At 48.9% G+C, this 18,695-nt stretch overlaps 2 protein-coding genes across 4 annotated transcripts in view, besides 3 other annotated features; one reads left to right on the plus strand and one right to left on the minus strand.

The window, feature by feature from the left end:
* CIMAP2 (ciliary microtubule associated protein 2) overlaps window positions 1-3,024 on the plus strand; it is a 36,190-nt gene extending 33,166 nt beyond the window's left edge. Inside the window, exons 10-11 of one of the 3 annotated variants that reach the window (XR_001737006.1) lie at window positions 2,573-2,709; window positions 2,865-3,024. Coding sequence is in view for 2 of the 3 variants with exons in the window: in NM_001110533.2 (NP_001104003.1) it covers window positions 2,573-2,645 (73 nt within the window). In the remaining variant the exon portion in view is untranslated. Of the gene's footprint in view, window positions 1-2,387; window positions 2,475-2,572 lie in introns of all 3 variants that reach the window. The other 2 variants (NM_152607.3, NM_001110533.2) reach the window with 2 other exon arrangements.
* Window positions 8,194-8,394: a silencer, noted in NCBI's record as "peak246 fragment used in MPRA reporter construct". NCBI's record gives its function as "represses an SCP1 promoter by STARR-seq MPRAs in K562 erythroleukemia cells {active_cell/tissue: K562}" and the evidence as "EXISTENCE:reporter gene assay evidence [ECO:0000049][PMID:32103011]".
* DHCR24 (24-dehydrocholesterol reductase) overlaps window positions 10,399-18,695 on the minus strand; it is a 37,569-nt gene continuing 29,272 nt past the window's right edge. The window contains exons 7-9 of the mRNA NM_014762.4: window positions 14,809-15,006; window positions 14,206-14,384; window positions 10,399-13,158 (exon numbers count right to left, since the gene is read on the minus strand). Of these exons, the coding sequence (NP_055577.1) occupies window positions 13,005-13,158; window positions 14,206-14,384; window positions 14,809-15,006 (531 nt within the window). The 3' untranslated portion in view covers window positions 10,399-13,004. The remainder of the gene's footprint in view (window positions 13,159-14,205; window positions 14,385-14,808; window positions 15,007-18,695) is intronic.
* Window positions 11,828-12,329: an enhancer, noted in NCBI's record as "H3K4me1 hESC enhancer chr1:55316729-55317230 (GRCh37/hg19 assembly coordinates)". NCBI's record gives its function as "activates a minimal SCP1, AML or CMV promoter by ChIP-STARR-seq in primed H9 embryonic stem cells {active_cell/tissue: H9 hESC(primed)}" and the evidence as "EXISTENCE:reporter gene assay evidence [ECO:0000049][PMID:30033119]".
* Window positions 12,330-12,829: an enhancer, noted in NCBI's record as "H3K4me1 hESC enhancer chr1:55317231-55317730 (GRCh37/hg19 assembly coordinates)". NCBI's record gives its function as "activates a minimal SCP1, AML or CMV promoter by ChIP-STARR-seq in primed H9 embryonic stem cells {active_cell/tissue: H9 hESC(primed)}" and the evidence as "EXISTENCE:reporter gene assay evidence [ECO:0000049][PMID:30033119]".

The following is an 18,695-nucleotide window of genomic DNA, read 5'->3' on the forward strand; positions in this document are numbered from 1 at the left end:
GTGTGGGGTGTGTAGAGGGGAATAGTGGAGAATAAGGCAGGAGAGGTGGTTCGGTCAGTCCTTAGAGGGCTGGAATGCTATAGCTAAGCTGCTTGGACTTTATTCTGTATTTGAGAAGCCACAGAATTTTTTTAAAGTTGAATTTATTTATTTATTTATTTTTCGAGACAGTTTTATTTTGCTCTGTTGCTCAGGCTGGAGTGCAATGGCGCGATCTCGGCTCACTCTAACCTCTGCCTCCTGGGTTCAAGCGATTCTCTTGTCTCAGCCTCCTGAGTAGCTGGGATTACAGGCACCTGCCACCACGCCCGACTAATTTTTGTATTTGTAGTAGAGACAGGGTTTCGCCATGTTGGCCAGGCTGGTCTCAAACTCTTGACCTCAGGTGATCCACCTGCCTTGGCCTCCCAAAGTGCTAGGATTATAGGCATGAGCCACCATGCCCAGCCTAAAGTTGAACTTATTATAGCATAACTCACATGCAGTAAAATTCATTCTCTTTAGGTATACAATTCTATGAGGTTTTGTTGTTGTTTTTTGAGATAGTGTCAACACTCTGTCACCCAAGCTAGAGCACAGTGGCATGAACATGGCTTATGGCAGCCTTGACCTTCTGGGCTCGAGCAATCCTCCCACCTCAGGCTCCCAAGTACTGGGACTACAGGTGTGCACTACTACACCCAGCTAATTTTTAAATTTCTTGTAGAGACATGCTTTTGCTATTCTGCCCAGGCTGATCTTGAGCACCTGGGCTCAAGCAATCCACCCACCTCAGCCTCCCAGAGTGCTGGGACTACAGGCATGAGCCACCACGCCCAGCCCAATTCTATGAGTTTTGACAAATGCATGTAGTTGTCATACATATAACCTCAGGCAAGATATAGAATATTCCCATCCCCCTTGTGCTATCTGTAGTCAGTCTACTCCTCCCACTGCCAACCCTGGCAATTCTACCATCCCTGGAGTTTTGCCTTTTCCAGAATGTCATATAAGTGGAATCATCTGTATGTAGAATTTTGTATCTTTTTCTTTCATGTTACACGGTGGTCTTGAGATTCAGCCATGCTGTTGTTGTGTGTATCACAGTTTGTTCCTTTTCAATGCTGAGTTGGATTGCGTTGTATGGTTGTGACACAGTTTGTTTATCCATTCCTAAGTTGAGGGACATTTGGATTGTTTACAGTTTGGGGAATTTTTAATAAAGCTGCTATAAACAGTTAAATACAGGTCTTCATGTAGACGTATGTTTTTATTTCTCTCTGGTAAATATCTAGGAGTAGGATTTCTAGGTCATTTGGTGGGTGTGTGTATAACTTTGTAAGAAGCTGCTGAACTATCTTGAAATGGCTGGTCCATTTTGCACTCCCACCAGCAACGTATGAGGGGTCTAAAGGTTTGGCATCCTTGTCAGCACTTGGTATTGTCAGGGTTTTTCTTTTCTAATTTAAGCCATTCTAATAGTATATTTCATTATGGTTTGAATTTGCATTTCTCCAGTGACAAGATGTTGAGGATCTTTTCATAGGCATCCTCTGATGTCTTCTTTTGGTGAAGTGTTTTCAAATCTTTTGCACATTTTAAACAAATGGGCTGCTTAGTTCCTTAGATATTCTAAGCATAAGTCCTTTATCAGATACGTGTTTTGCAAATATTTTTTCCCAGATATCCAGAAGGATTTTAATGGGAAGTAATTCTTGTGTTTAATAAACATACTTAGGGCATTATGGACTGTTGCGGGGATAGAGACAGGGAGGCTGCCTCAATAGTAGAAATGAGAAATGAGGCATGGGGCTGGGCCAGGGGCCGTGGGCATGGTGAGGAATGGAGAGACAGGAGGTGTGGAGACCCACTGGATGGTGGGAAAGACCTCTCTTACCCTAGTGAGTCCTCCCTCCTTTGACAAATATTTGTTAAGCATGGGTAATGATCTAGGCATAGGGGAAATACCAATGAAGAAGTGCAAGTCCTGCGTTCATGGAGTTCACATCTTGTTGGGGAGGACAGACAACAAACAGATACATAAAGTGTGTAACGTAAGGGCTGGCAGATGCTGTTTGACACACACAGCAAGGGGTTCTTATGGAAGTGCCATCTTCCAAAGGGCTCACGGGATGGGAGGTTGAGTCCTCAGGGTTTCCACTCATGGGAAAGAATTGGAGCAGTGGAGGGAAAGTGGGACTGAGGTCAGGGCTTACATTCTGGCCCTGATGCTGGCCTTCAGGTGACCTCAGGTAAGTTCCCTCCTCTCTCTGGTCCTTGGTCTTCCTCTCAGGGTTGGGTTAGATAATTTTCCAGGGACTATGATTTTATACCTGAAGTTCTTACAAGCCAAGTTGGGTGCTTTAATGAGCTGAACTGAGTGTGAATTGCTGTAATCCCATCCTTAGAATCAGGCTGTTTTGTTGGAAAGGCCTAGAAGTCATCAATTTTGGCCTCTCACCAATGTAGGATCTCCTGTGAAGCAGAACCAACAGGTACCTGTTCATTCCCTATGGGTGTCCCTCCAGGGATGAGGAGCTCACTCCCTTCCAAGGGATCACTTCCTTTTTTAATTTTTTCTGTCTTTTTAAAGGGAAAGGATCACACCATTTACTAAGGGAAAGTGCCCTCCAACTGTGGATTACAATTCAGATCCTACTCCTTAAAGCCACATGCGAAGGACAGCCTGCAGTGACCAGAGAGCCCAAAGGCCTGAAGACAAATCTGGGGGTGACAGCATGGGCATGGGAGTGGGGTGTCTTAGAGAAAGGACACATGGGCTTGGGAGAGGGGAGAGATGTATGGGGATCACCTTTGCCAGAGCTGCATACCTGAAGGTCACAGTGTCTTCCGGGACAGCTGGGGACAGGTATCTTTTGTTGCAGGAGATCAATTATCCTGAGAACTCAACTCAGCCAGTGACATGAACATGGGGGCCAGAGAGCAGATGGACTGAAGGGATGGGACGTAGTTGACACTTGTGGGACCCTTTCTATTCTAAAGCCAGAGTGCTTGGCTCCTTGTTTATTAAAGTTCAGAAAGTGGTGGGAGAGTGTAGCATGTATTACACGGCAATTCTAGGACTCTGCAGGAACACCTCATTGCCATCCCAGGATGCTTCTGGAAGCTTAGCAGGGCCTCACTGATGAGGAAACTGCTGACCTCAGGCCATGTCCAGCCATGGGGAACATCGGTTTCACCCCTGAGTCAGCCCTTGTGGGCACCCTTCCCTCACTGTTTCATGTCAGTGAGAATGGGGGAGCAGGTTGTCCCTAGAGGAGACTGGGATACCACAGTTTCGTCCACAAAGCACACATAATGATAAAAAATACTTGAAACACTTTCTTCCATGCGCGAGTGTCTTACAAAAAGCAGTTATTCTCCTGTGTCAAAACAAATGTTTTTGAAGAAGTAAAGCCATCTTTATTCACCTTGCCAACGCATTGCACATGACCAGGTGCCCATGCCCACTAGGTGATCCTCAGAACCTGGTTGCCGCAGGACTGCCTATGTTTGACACCCACTCGTTGTCATGTTACTTGTGGTCCATGTTGCAAGGGGGTGCTGAAGGCATACTAAGAACCTGGACGTTAAGAGTGGGGAAAAACTGCTACCCTCCTGAGCAACCAGGGAGGTGCTAGAACCTGATGTTACTTTTTTAAGATTTATGTGCTGGAGTGTTCAACCCAGTCACCCGTAGGACCACTTCTAGAAACTGAACTGGAATTGGGTGGTTATGAAACATTTATTCATTTATTTTTGGGGGCTGAGGAGTTCTTTTTTTTCTTTTTCTCCAAACAAAAGCTTTTAGGGAAAGTCCAATATAACAAACATGTAGCCACTTTGAATCAAGCTGGGTGAGGCCGGGAGACCAGCCCTCGTGGCCAGCCCCTGTGCCCTCCTTCCCCAGGGATTGTTAGGAACCAGGCCTCGAGGCAGGAGGTGAGCAGTGGGTGAGCTCCGCCTCCTGTCAGATCAGCGGCGGCATTCGATTCTCACAGGAGCCGAACCCTATTGTGAACTGCACATGTGAGGGATCTAGGTTGCATGCTCCTTATGAGAATATAACTAATGCCTGATGATCTGAGGTGGAACAGTTTCATCCTGAAACCATCCTCCCCTGCCACCCCGCCCTACCCTGGTCTGTGGAAGAACGGTCTTCCATGAAACCGGTTCCTGGTGCCAAAAAGGCTGGGGACTGCTGTAATAAAGGACTTACATCCAGAATATATATGTGAGTTCATATATATCTCAATAAGAAACAACAAAATAAAAAATGTATAAAAGATGTAACAGACGCTTTACCAAGAAGATATATGGATGGCAAATAAGCACATGAAAATAAACTCAATGTCATTAGGCATTAAGGAAATGCAAATTAAAACCACAATGAGATACAACTACCCACCTATTAGGATGGCTAAAATTGAAAAGACTGACCATACCAAGTGTTGGTGAGAATGTGGAACTCTCATATACTGCTGGTGGAAGTGTAAAATGGTACAACTATCTTAGTTCATGTAGAAGATGTTAACATCAGGCCGGGTGTGGTAGCTCAGGCCCGTAATCCCAGCACTTTGGGAGGCCAAAGCGGGCAGATCACCTGAGGTCAGGAGTTCGAGGTCAGCCTGGCCAACATGGTGAAACCCTGTCTCTACTAAAAATACAAAAAAATTAGCTGGGCGTGGTGATGGGCACCTATAGTCCCAGCTACCCGGGAGGCTGAGGCAGGAGAATCGCTTAGAACCCGGGAGGCAGAGGTTGCAGTGAGCTGAGATCGTGCCATTGCACTCCAGCCTGGGTGACACAGCGAGACTCCGTCTCAAAAAAAAAAAGATGTTAACATCAGGGGAAGGCAAGTGAGGGGGATTGCTCTACTACCATTGTGATGTTTCTGTAGAATTAATTACAAATAAAAATAAAGTAATAAAACGAGTTAAAATGTATGCAATAAAACTTTTTAAAGAGACTGTTTACCTTACAAAATAAGTATATTTGTTCAAATATCTCTATCAGCTATCATATTATAGACAGTCACTGTCACTGTAGAGAAGGTCAGCAAGGCCAGGTGCAGTGGCTCATGCCTATAATCCCAGCACTTTGGGAGGCCAAGGTGGGCAGATTACCTGAGGTCAGGAGTTCGAGACCAGCCTGGCCAACATGGTGAAACCCCGTCTCTACTAAAAATACGAAAAAAAAATTAGCCAGGCGTGGTAGAAGGCACTTGTAATCCCAGCTACTCGGGAGGCTGAGGTAGGAGAATTGCTTAAACCTGGGAAGTAGAGGTTGCAGTGAGCAGAGATCAAGCCACTGCACTCCAGCCTGGGCGACAGAGCAAGACTCTGTCTCAAAAAAACAAAAAAAAAAAAAAAAAAAAAAAAAAGAGAGAGAAGGTCAGCAAATTTGTGATGCTTGCCTTTTTATAAGAGAAACCTGTGTAACAACTTCATTTATTTATTTATTGAGGCAGGGTCTTGCTGTGTCCAGCCCAGGCTGGAGTGCAGTGGTGTCATCATGGCTAACTACAGCCTCGACCTCCTGGGCTCAAGTGATGCTCACACCTCTCAGCCTGTCAAGTAGCTGGGACTATAGGCTGCACCACCACGCCTGGATAATGTTTTTGTTTTTTCAGAGATAGGGTCTTGCTATGTTGCCCAGCTTGGTCTGGAACTCCTGGGCTCAAGCTGTCTTCCCACCTTGGCCTCCTAAATTGCTGGGATTATAGGCATAAATCACCGAGCCTGGCCACAAGTTTTTTTTTTTGTTTTTTTTTTTTTTTTTTTTTTTGAGACAAAGTCTTGCTCTGTCGCCCAGGCTGGAGTGTAGTGGTGGGATCTCAGTTTACTGCAACCTCTGCCTCCTGGGTTCTAGCGATTCTCATGCCTCAGCCCCACAAGTAGCTGGGACTACAGGCATGAGCCACCACGACCGGCTATGTTTGTATTTTTAGTAGAGATGGGGTTTTGGCTGGTCTCAAACTCCTGGCCTCAAGTGATCTACCAGCCTCAGCCTCCCAAAGTGCTGGGATTACAGGTGTGAGCCACCGTGTCTGGCCCCTGGCCACAACTTTAAATTAGGCAATTCTTTTAAATATTTTGCCATGAGATAAGAATGAGTTCATGTGTGTTACAAAAATAATGTGTGCTGGGGAGGGACATTCATCTATAATGGAGCAAAAGGCTCTCTGGCTGCCAGGGCCGGCTTTGCTGCCTATGGAGGGCTAGAAGTGCCAGGAACTCCACATCCCTCTGGAGCTACCCTCACTGAGGGAAGTTGGTGTATAAATACCAGCTCCCTCAGCCCTTGTGGGATGTACCTTTGAAACGCATGTTTTACACTGGTTTCCAGTTTTCCCAGTGCAGTTACACTGTAGTGGCCCCCAGTGGTAACCTGCTTGAGAATGAACCCATTATTGGCTGTCATCCCTTCTCCACTCCCCTGCTGGTGTTTTCTTCACCTCCCAAATAAACTGCTTGCATTCAAATCTTTGTCTTAGGGTTGGCTTCTAGGGAAACCCAAACCAAGACAAACACTAACATTTTCTCAGGCATCCCGATGGATCATCCTGTTACACCCTGGGCTTGGGAACCTCATTTGGTGACCACTGCTCTGCTCTGCGACAATAACTCCATCTGTCTGTCCAGGCTCTTCTTGCACACCCTCAAGACAGCCCTTCCCAGTGCAGGGCAGCTATGATTGTAAAAGGGTCCTTTGGATGTTGAGCTAAAATCTGGCTTGTTGTGACCCTTGCCCTCCTGCCAGGGCAGGGCCATAAGAGGACATGGAGTTCTGCAGGTTGTTAACTGGACTCTGCTGCGGCCTCCAGCAATCCCTGGAGAAGGAGGGCACAGGCCCTGACCATGAGGGCTGGACTCCTGGCCGCACCCAGCTTGACTCAAAGTAACTCCACGTTTGTTATATACTGGACTTTCCCTAAACGCTTTTGTTTGGGGGAAAAAGCTCCACAGCCAAAAATGAAATGAATAAATAAATATTTAATAACCACCAAATTCTAGTTCCATCTCTTGAAGTGGTCCTGCAGGTGACTGGGTTTAACCCTCCAGCACATACATCTTAAAAAAGCAACAGCAGGTTCTAGCACCTCCCTGGTTGCTCAGGAGGGTAGTGATCTCTCCCACTCCAGTGTGAGATGCTGCCAGGTTGTGGGAAGCCCTGAGCAGGCCAAAATAGCCTTTTACAAGCCATGCCACCAGACTTAACATCCAGGTTCTTACTATGCCTTCAGCACCACCTTGCAACATGGACCACAGGTAACGTAACAATGAGTGGGCATCACACATAGGCAGTCCTGCTGCAACCAGGTTCTGAAGATCAGCTAGTGGGCATGGGCAGCTGGTCATCTGCAATGCCTTGGCAAGGTGAAGCATGGCTGGCATAGCTGCTCACTTTACAGGGAGAAACTGAGGCCCACAGGAGGAACAAGTTTACATAGGTTGCACGGCGTGGTTGCTTTAGTAAACATTAATAGAATGGGACTTCATCTGCTGTGTTAGGTTCTTATCAATACCTAAGGGTGACGGTTCTGACCATCATGAACGTTGTACCGTGCGGTCTTTGGCTTTTTACCTTGAGTTCACAACATCCCTGGGCACACCAGCCAGGCCAGCTCTGGGAAGCTCCCTTTGTTAAAAGCTCAGGTCCTCCCATCCTCATTGCTGTGGGCTGCTTGATGCCTGTCCTGGGCCTGAGCAAGCCCAGGTCCCACTCCGGCCCTGCCATAGTCCTTTGGCCCTGAAGGCAGTTTCACCTTCGCCAACTTGACCCTTGGAGCTCCTCCTTCTCAGGAGCAGTTTACACCTGTTCCCAGGTTCAGTTGATCCACTCCCTCTTCCTGGACCTGCGGCGGCATTAGCCAGGGAATGGGGGTTCACCAATAATGAGAATGATTAACAAGGGAGTGGGGATGATCATAGAGATGCCTGAGGTTCAGAAGCCTAAGAGGCGAATGTACTGAGGCCAGAGCCAGGGTGCAGGAGCCACCTTTCCTGCTAAGCTTGGATTTGGAGGGCTTATTAAGAGAGGTCTCTGTTAAGTGGTATGCTGGTAAATGTTTGTCTCTCAAAACAAAACAAAGCCCTCCTGTGATAGTTAATTCTGTGTCAATTTCACAGCGCTACGGGGTGCCCAGACATGTGACCAAATATTACTTTGGGTGTGTCTGGGAGGGTGTTTCTGGATGAGATTAACATTGAATCAGACTGAGCAAAGCAGGTTGCCCTTCCTAAAGCAGGTGGGTCTCATTCAATCAACTGAAGACACGAACAGAACAAAAGGACTGAATGAGAGGAAACTCCTCCTGCCTGAGTGCTTAAGCTGGGACATCAGGGTTTTCCTGCCTTCAGACTTGAACTGAAAAATGGGCTCTTCTTGGGTCTTGAGCCTACCAGCTTTTGGACTGGAACTTACACCATTGGCTCTCCTGGTTCTCAGCCCTTTGGACTCAAACTGGAACTATATCATTGGCTTTCCTGGGTATCTAGTTTGCCTACTGTAGCTCTTGGGACTTCTTAGCCTCCATAATCACATGAACCAATACTTTGTAAGTCTCTGTTTCTCTGTCTCTGCATGTGTCTTGCCTTTCTATACAGTCATGTGATGCATAACATTTTGGTCAATGACAGACTGCATATACAATGGTGGACCCATAAGATTATAATGCCCTATTTTTACTGTACCTTTTCTATGTTTAGATATACAAGTACTTAGCATTGGGTTATAATTGCTTATAGTATTCAGTACTGTACCATGTTGTACAGGTCTGTAGCCTAGGAGTAATAAGCTATCCCATATAGCTAAGTGTGTAGTAGGCTGTACCATTTAGGTTCGTGTAACTACACTGTGTGATATTCACACAATAATGAAATCACCTAATGATGCATTTCTCAGAACTTATCCTCGTTAAGGGATGTGTGCCTGTGTGTGTGTGTGTGTGTGTATCTCCTACTGATTGTTTCTCTGGAGAACACTGATTAATACAACAGAACAAGCCCTGATTCGTAGTGCTGCTAATTTCTGTGGTGTAAATGCTCCCCCTGTGGGTGATTTCAGGCTGCCAATGTCACTGAACATGGAAGTGGAAGGAGGTGTGCATGATGGTCCTTGTAAGCTGGTACAAGCCATATTCCAGCACACCACTGACCCCCTCCCACAAACACCTTTCTCACCCCTCCCCCAGAGGGATCAGACCTCAGGTCTGCCAGTGGGGTAACTAGAAGTTCCAAGGATACGCATGTGAATTCTCTTCTACTTTCAGCTTCCATTAGGTCAGGTAGTGAACAGATTGTTGACACCCTCCTGTAAGGAGGTTGGTAAACCAAGCCAAGGCCCCTACGTGGCCCTCTTGCTTCTTCTCATAGGTCTTGATGCCAGGTTCATGGCTTGAGGTTTGTAAGGCAGCTGCTGCTAAGATTCAGATTTGGAACTGGGAGGAGCAACATACAGATTGTCCAGTCTAGCGCCTAAGCTCAGCAAACCCAGTCCAGTCTAGCGCCTAAGCTCAGCAAACCAAGGAGCTCTGGGTTGGGCTCTCAGGCACCAGCCCAGGTAATGCCTTATATTTATTTATTGAGACAGGGTCTTGCTCTGTGTCACCCCGGCTGGAGTGCAGTAGCACGATCATAGCTCACTTCAGTCTCAAGTTTCTGGGCTGAAGCAATCCTCCTGCCTCAGCCTCCAGAGTAGCTGGGCCTACAGATACTTGCCACCATACTTAGCTAATTTTTAGATGGGGTCTCACTATGTTTCTCAGGCTTGGTCTTGCACTTCTGGCCACAAGCGCTTCTCCTGCAGTGACTCAGGAATCCAGGTTCCTTCTGACATAAGACTCTCCAACCACCTATGGCCTGGTTGTCATCTGCACTGAGTGAAGGGGAGAGCCAGGAGACCTCATATAGGTTTTTATGACTTCTGTTTACATTCCACTGGAAAGCTCTTAACACAAGGACACAACTGACTGTAAGGAAGGCTGGGAAAGGTAGTCTAGCTATGTGTCCAAAGAATGGAGGAATGCATTTTAATGGACAGCTAGTGGGTCCACTAGTTTGTAGATGAGGACAACAGTCTCAACAGGATTAACTTGCTAAAATTAATTGGTCACAACCAAGTGACAAAGCCAGGCCTCCACCCTAACCAGAGCCACCATCGTCTCACCTGGACTGCAGTGGTGGCCTTCTCACTGGTCTGCTTGCCACCCTGCACACAGAGGGATCCTTTCAACACTTACTCCAATCACACTCTGACAGTGATAGAAATAAACCTGTCAGTTCCTGCATGTTCTTCTAGCCCTCGGCCATGGGCTCATGGGTTCAGTGAGAGCAACTGAGTTGGGGAATGGCACAGCCTGCACCCGAGCCCAGATCTGACTCCACATTTTGGTCCCCCAAGCAAGAAACGACAAACGCCAGCTTCCAGGCCACTTTTATTTAAACAGAAGCAGCGGCCCCACAGCCATGGGGACATGTCTTCCAGACAGTAGACACAGTGCCTGTGGCTGTAAGAGCCTGACAGGGAAGATTCATGCCTTTCTCCTTGGCCCCCATGACCAAAGAAGAAAATAAAAATCACACACCATACACTGCCACACCCATCTCCACCCCTCCCTTTCAGTAATATCCAAGTATTCATCCTTCTGGCCAAAGAAACTGGCTACAATTCTGATTCTAAAGAAAACCTTCATGCAGCCAAGAAACTCAGGGCTCTGGAGGGGAGAGCCTTACTCTGATACTTTCCACATGCACTGCCCACTGGCATCAAGTTTAACTCCATCCAAAACCATCACATGGATGGCCAGGGACAGGACTGGCTACAAAAAAAAGCCATGAACTCAGCTCACCATGCTAAGAAGACTGCCTCTTTCCAGGCAAGATTTTACTGGAGCAACATAACCGGAGGGTGTGATTCCAAAATACCTTCCTTTCCAAGCCCCGGGTTGTGGATAAGGTCTGGATTTTGGTTATATGACTAAGGGCGACAGAGGCTGCTGGCATCTCTGGCCACCGTCCCAGTGGCTTAGGGTTGGAGGCTTCACTGGCAAAACAATGGCACTGTTTAACTAGCTCGTGTTAACCATTCATCTACAGCAAGTAGAATCATCAGTTTTGCACTGAGCAAGGAAGCACATGGGTCTCCTATGAGAGCTAATGCCAGAATTCACATGCTTTGTAAAATATAGGATGAGGTTTATTTCTTTCTTCTGCCCCCTCCAGAGGCCAAATGGGTAGGGTGGTTCCTTTGCCTTCTGAGTGCCTGGATGCCCCCAGCCCTCACAAGACCCTGCTAAGACACTGGCAGTGTGCCAAGCCTTGGGTGGGATGGGTGAACACCCTTCAATGACTCTGAGAGGATTCTGGCACCTGGAATGACAAGACAGATGCTTCCCTGCAAGCCAGGTATGAGCCTTTCTGGAAATGAGATGGGAGCTGACCTTGGGGTTGAAGGAAGGATCTTGAATGACAGATAATCCCCAAGTGTCCACTGGATCATTTTTCCTCTGACTTTCCACACAAATGAGGCTTTCCGTGGGTTTTGCAACCACAGTGTCTAAGACAATCAGAAGGGTTCCAGGGAGGTCTTGTCTGTAGCGATGTGACAGATGAGGAAACTGCAGCTCAGAGGACAATGACTTGCCCACGTTGCACAGCTCGCTGACAGTAGAGAGGGGCTGAAACCTAGGTCTCCTGACTCACACGCCACAACCATGACTGGCTCAGCTCCCTTAATTCCAGCTTCCCTTACATGACGCAATTCCTTCTCAGATTCGGGTTTTCAGCTGAGGCTGGGCAGTTCTTAAGATAGAGTTGCATAAACAACCAAGCTTTGCGTTATAACAAGCCAGGGAAGGACCTAGGGAGGTTCCCTTCCCTCTGGAACGGAAATGGAACTTTCTCTGAGCTTAGGATTTGTAAGGCACTGAAATTAACTACAGCTGGGGTGGGGAGTGGTGGAAGAAAGAAAAAGAGGGATGAGTGGTTGGAGAAATCAAGTCGATGCTCTTTTCTTCCAGCCCCACGGTGAGAATCCTACAGAAACATGAGGGTGGACTCCACTTTCCCACCTGATGCTGTCCACTCCCCAGCCCCTGCTGCAGAGCAGCGCGGACCCACTCCCACCAAGACAAAGTGGGTTTTGGGAAAGATGAGGCCTGCAGGGTTGGTGAGCCAAGAAGAATGAGCCCAGGTCCCCTGGATCCAATTCAGAGCGGAGACCACTCTCTCCACCTAGGTGTCCCAGGCTGAGGCTGGGACAAGATTCAACCCTGGAATGCCTTCTCCAGGAACACAGGGCACTCCGAGTGGACTCAGTGGTGGCTGGGGTGGGCCTGCAGGCCCAGGCATGAAGGAGGAAGGGGCAGGACGGCACCAAGGATGGCAGGGAGAACTTTGGCCTCGGACCTGGCTTTGGCACAGCGCATCTGGGGCCTCCCCACTCCGTGGCTGCCCTCCTGAGATCCCAGGGTGGGGAAGAGCTGTCCTTCTCCTGTGAGGACCTCGTCTGGCTGATGGAGGCGATGGCAGGGCAACTCCAGCGTATCCCCTTCATCATTCCAGCCATGGCTGTGCACAGGTGACCTAATGTGGAGCCTTTTCAGGCTCCACTGCAGATGTGACGCTGAACGGGAAGCAACAAGAGCTACCACTTACCCAGCACCTTCAATGTGACCAGTGCTCAACTCAGATGACAACAACCTGCAAGTAGGTATTACTATCCCTTTCAACTAATGAAGAGACCCGGGCTCAGAGGGGTTAAGGGACTCACCCAGAGTCACACAGCTAATGAGTTCTAAACGGGGAACTGGACTCAGGCTTGTCTGACTCCAAATCCCACATTCTTTCCATTCCACTGGGCTGCCCCCTGGAAGCCAGGAGGAAGGTGGTGTTGGGCTGTCAGGGTGGGAGTTCTGGAGGGGTTTCTCTTTGAAAGTGTGGATCTAGGAAAGCAGCCAAGCTTGAGTGAAGGGAAGATGCCTGACCACTCACACGTGTCTGTCTCTCCAGGCGGGCTCCAGCTCAGTGCCTGGCGGCCTTGCAGATCTTGTCGTACACCTCGGGGAAGGCGTCCTGGCAACCCAGCTTCTCTCGCAGCTTGTGGTACAAGGAGCCATCAAACATCTCCCAGAACTCCTCCCGGTTCATGTAGCAGTCGGCATACAGCATCTGGAAGCTGCAGAGGCAGAGAAGTGGGTGAGGACGCCAGGAGGCACACGGAACGCGAGGCGTGAGAGAAACCCAACTGCTCATTCTGCAGCCCAGAAAAGGCTTTTGGAGGATTTCTCTTGTTTAACCCCGTTAACCTGGTGAAGAAGATGGTGCAGGTATTCTTATCCCCCTTTTGCAGGTAGGGAATTGGGGCTTGGGGGTTAGGTAGCTTAGCAGTGGAGGTAGAGTCAGGAGTAGAGCTCAGACTGCTGGGCTTCTGCCCCTCTGCTTGGCCAGAGGCACAGCTGCCTTCCCTAATGGAGCAGTGGGGTTGTTTTCCTTTAATCTGTTATTGACTTTCAATAAACTAGACATAATTTAAAGTACACAATTGGATAAGCTTGACACATGCATGCAACCAAGGACTCCAATCACTGCAGTCCAGATCGTGGCTATAACCATCAGCCCCAAACTTTCCCCATGCCCCTTAGTTATCCGTTGCCCTCTGCCATCCCCAGGCAACTACTGATGCGCTATCAGTATGGATTCATGTGTGTTTTTGGGAATTTTATATGAAAGGAATCATATGGCATTGTTTTTTCCTGGCTTTGTCCATGTTCCACTCAATAGTTTATCCAGGCTGTTTTCTGAGCAATCCTCTGTCCTGGGCCTCTCCGTGGTTTTCATAGACAGGAATCCCTCTCTCCTTAGCTTTGGCCTTTCCATCTGGAGCAGTTGCCCCTGGACCCAGCTAAGCCCACACCCATCATCTGTTCCGTGGGGAGGAGTGGGGTGACTCCCAGGTTTCTGGCTGGGGCTGCTGGGGGGGTGTGACATGTTCACTGGAGGAGGGGGTGCAGGGAGAAGAGGGCAAGTAGTCCTGCAAGCCCACCCCCTGCCCATCTTTCACAGCTTACCTCCTGACCCAGAGGCTGCCACAGCTGCAGGGGCCCTAAGGAACCAGTTGATAGGCTTGGGGCTCCTGGTTCTCCATAGAGCTGGCCTCATTCCCCTGGAGCAGTACCCTGGGGCTGTCAGCTAGAGGCAACATACTATACTCTGGGCCACTCACCCATGCACGCTGCGGACAAACTTCTCCAGCTGCCTCATGCAGGACCTGGCTTCAAAGTGTTTCACACGCGGCTCCCCATATGCTCCAATGTCGATGTAGAGCTCTGCCTCATTTCCTTTGGGGTGCACTAGGCCTGGCTGGCTGGGCAGGATGAACGGACACAGCCAGATGGGGTAGACCTGGGTAGACCAGGGAGGTGGGTATTGGTGCTTTTTCTCCAACAGGTGACAGGCTCATGGCTGGCCCGCTCATACCCACCCAAATGAAGGCTTTGCAGCATTCTCAAGACCCCCTCAGGTGCTCTCAGCTTCACTGCCCCGCCCCCCAGCCCTGGCTGAGAACACCCTGACTCCACCACCTTGGAGGACACAATCGGAGCAGGTCATGGGAGTGCTCGATGCCAGACCCTATGACTCCTCTCCCAGGGGGGCCATCACTGAGTGGGTTGAGGCCTCAGCAGACATAGGGACAAGGACCTCATCTTAAAGTTGGGAAAACACCCAGAGGGCAGTGTGCCCAAGGTCGGTCACACGGTTCAGGGGAGGAGACCATGGATTCCAAGGGAATGCACCTGGTGCGCCCTCCCTGCCCTGCCCCACTCACGTGGATGTCGTTTTGGAAGGTGTGCAGGGCCTGCTGCAGGCACTTCATGGGCACCAGCATGTCCTGCACCACGTGGTGCTGCTCGTACAGCTTGCGCAGGGTCTCACCCTGGGTCAGCTTCAGGAGGGAGATCTTGGGAGGCACCATCCAGCCAAAGAGGTAGCGGAAGATGGGGTTGTTGCCAAAGGGGATAATGTCCTGGAAAACAAAGATTAGGGTTGGAGAGAAAAAAACCAACAAGGGTTGAATGTCTCCAAGTGCAAGGGGCCAGGGGCCAGGTCCCATTCTGTGCTTGACAGAAGCACGCCTGAGTCCAATTCCCCTCTTTGGAGGGGGTGTGATGGGACCTAGGACTTTACCAGTCCAATCTAGGTTTGCTTCTCAGCTCTGGCATTCGCCAGTAGTGATGACCCCGGGCTAGTTACTTAACTTCTTTGAGCTCAGTTTCCTTATCTGTAAAATGGGCCTTGTGAGGATAATGAGATATTAATACCAAGTGGAAGGCACTCAACCCCATGCCTGGAGTGCAATAATGAGCTAGCTATCATTCCTGATCTAGCTGTTGAGATCTGGCTGGAATAGAGCTGGCATTCCATAAATGTTTGAGAAACGAATGCTGTTGAATGAGCATAGTGATTCTTAGAGAATTTAAGCAGTCTCCCTAGGGGCACACAGCCAGAGACAGCGCTCATGGGGTGGGTGCAGTCTGGCTCAGGTTCGACAAGGAGCCCACTGGTTTGCAGCATCCCTTGCTCACAGCCTGACCACCCGCCTGGCTCCCCCAATTCGGTCTCCCTGGAAACCCTCCTGCGCAGAAGCTGTTCTCTTCCACGCCTCAGACTGCCACGAGGCGGGAGCTTCCTCACTCAGCACTGCTGCCTCCTGACGATGGCCCCCTCTTCCCTCCAGCTCTGCCCACCTCCAACAGAGAAGACTTTGGCCCCTGGGTCACAATCCTCCTCCCTGCTTGAGTCCTACCATGTTCCTGAGGGTCCCCAGTGTCCACTGATGCCCGATTCTCACAGCTCTGGGAGCCCTTGAAGCCAAGGCTGCTCCTCCATTCATTAAACAGTTCTGGCCAGGCACGGTGGCTCATGCCTGTAATCCCAGCACTTTGGGAGGCCGAGGCAGATGGATCATGAGGTCAGGAGATCGAGACTATCCTGGCTAACACGGTGAAACCCCGTTTCTACTAAAAATACAAAAAATTAGCCGGGCATGGTGGCGGGCGCCTGTAGTCCCAGCTACTCAGGAGGCTGAGGCAGGAGAATGGCGTGAACCCAGGAGGCGGAGCTTGCAGTGAGCCGAGATTGTGCCACTGCACTCCAGTGTGGGCGACAGAGTGAGACTCCGTCTCCAAAAAAAAAAAAAAAACAGTTCCAAGGGGCCTCCGAGGTCAGGAACCAGGTTCTATGCTGGGTGCTGGGGAACCAAGATAACTGAGACATGGTCTCTGTCCTTAAGACACCCACAACCGCAGGTGTGGAAGACACAGGCCACTGGATGAGTGTGGGAAGAGTGGGGACAAACAGAGGCTGGGGCAGCTCATGAAAGGGTCCACATCAGACTAGGGGGCACGGTGACTCCCCAAAGCAGCCATGTGTGTAAGCACTGAAGGCTGAGTGACCCTTTCCCTCACTCCTCTGGAGCTGCCGGACCACTCCCATGAAGTCAGGGACCTGCCTGTTTTCTTCTGTTAGATCCTGCGCCTTTGCCAATGTCTGGCATGCAACAGGATCTCAATAAATAGCCTGGCTTTTATTGTTTCCTTGGTTACCTTTGGAAGACCTACACATGCCCACAGCAGAAATCCCCATAGTACAAAAGTTAAGCCTCCCTGCGCATTCCTGACCCTGTTTCCCTCCCAGCAATGACCTGACCTGGCTCCCCACCCACCCTCAACTCTCCTCCCCCTCCCTAATGGCAAGCATTGGTAAGAATGATTTGCCTACCCTTTGGGGGACATCTGATACGGAGAAGCAGAGGAGCTTTGAAAAAACAGAAAGCAAAAAAACCTCATAAATGGTGGCATCTTAGCACCACTGGCTCATCACTGTATCCTGTATCAATACAGAGGGCACTACTGCCTTCGGTTGTGGGTGTCTAATGTGTGCTGCAGGGGTCCACAAATTCGGCCCACCCTCTGGTTGTGTGTTCCTTTACAAATTGTCCATGGCTGCCTCCAGGCTACAAGGCAGAGGAGCAGTTACTAGAGAGGCCTTATGGTCCGAAAAACCTAGACTGTATACTATCTGGCCCATTGTATAAAATGCTTATTGGATCGGGTGCGGTGGCTCATGCCTGTAATCCCAGCGCTTTGGGAGGCTGAGCGGGCAGATCACTTGAGGTCAGTAGTTCAAGACTAGCCTGGCCAACATGGCAAAACCCTGTCTCTACTAAAAACACCAAAAAAAATTAGCCGGGCGTGGTGGCGGGTGCGTGTAATCCCAGCTACTCAGGAGGCGGAGGCAAGGAGAATCGTTTGAAGCGGAGAGGCGGAGGTTGCAGTGAGCCAAGATTGCACCATTGCACTCCAGCCTGGATGACTCAGGGAGACTCCGTCTCAAAAAAAAAAACAAAGGTTATTGACCCCTGCTCGATTACAGCAGATGTGTCATAATTTATTTAATCACTTCTATACTGGCAGACATTTAGATTATTTCCAGATTATTCCAACTAATATACTTCGTATATGTTATCTTTGCCCATTTATATATGTGTCAGAAAGATAAATTCCTAGAAGTGGAAGATTTTGGCTTAAACAGTGTGTGCAATTTTCATGGATACCATTTCAGAGCTTGTACCATTTTATACTCTCCCAGACAATGTAGAACACTGTTTCCCTTCTCCCTTGCCAGCACAATGTGACATCAAACTTCTAGATCACTGTCATTCATTCTGATAGGTGAAAAATGAGACTCCTGGAGTTCTGTTTTGCCTGTCTCTAATTCTGAGTTAGACTGTATCACACTGTGATGTTTAAAAGCCATTTGTGTTTTTTTCCTAAAAATAGTCAACTGGTATCCAAATATATCAGCTGAAACCATTCCTTTTCCAGTCTTAGCCTCAGAAAGTTCAAGTTTTAAACATGTGCCCTGCCCTTCTCCTTTCCCGCTTCTGTCCACCCATTACTTATCCTATGTGGCTTAGTGACCTGGGATGTCAGGGTCCTAAGCTGCCCCCTTGCTGAGGCCAGTCATTGCAGAGAATCTCACTGCAGCCCTTGTTCTCTGGCCATCCTTGCTCACTGGCTGTAGGGCCCCATGGCAAATCTAAGGGGCCCAGCCTGAGCCAGGAACCCCAGCCCCAGCAGGAAGTCCTGGGGCAATGGCCTTCTATGAACACAAGGACCCTATCTTATCCTTTCTTACTGGTGTTAACTCCCTGTGTTAGCCAACCGCTTATACTAAAATGATGACATAAAAAGGAATGACAAGACAGAGCTGCCCAGCTTGGCTCCTTTTCTTTCAGTCCTTCCTTACCGTAAGTCAAAGGTAGTGTTGGTAGAATGTGCATGTAACAAAGAGAAGTAAAAAGAGTTTATGCAGCATTCTTAATGAAACCAAGAAATACATATACATGAGGAGTTAAATGTAACATTTAAACAGTGAACAGTAAAATTCATACTAATAATTTAAATTTTTCTTCACTTAGAATGGCATTAAGTTGCAAATATTTATGACAAGAGACAGACCATGGAGAAAGAAAAAAGCTTTATATTTAGTACCTTTAATGGCACTTCTGGCCTGCTTTTTGCACCTGGCCCTACAAATTATGCAGCTAACCCTGACCCCGCGTGTTGCTGATTGACCAAGCTGGGGGAAGGGAAGTGACTGGACCAGCCAGGCCTGGCACAGGTGTGACCAGAATGGACTAATCACCCAGAA

This window comes from Homo sapiens, chromosome 1, assembly GCF_000001405.40.
Source record: "Homo sapiens chromosome 1, GRCh38.p14 Primary Assembly".
Classification (NCBI taxonomy): domain Eukaryota; kingdom Metazoa; phylum Chordata; class Mammalia; order Primates; family Hominidae; genus Homo; species Homo sapiens.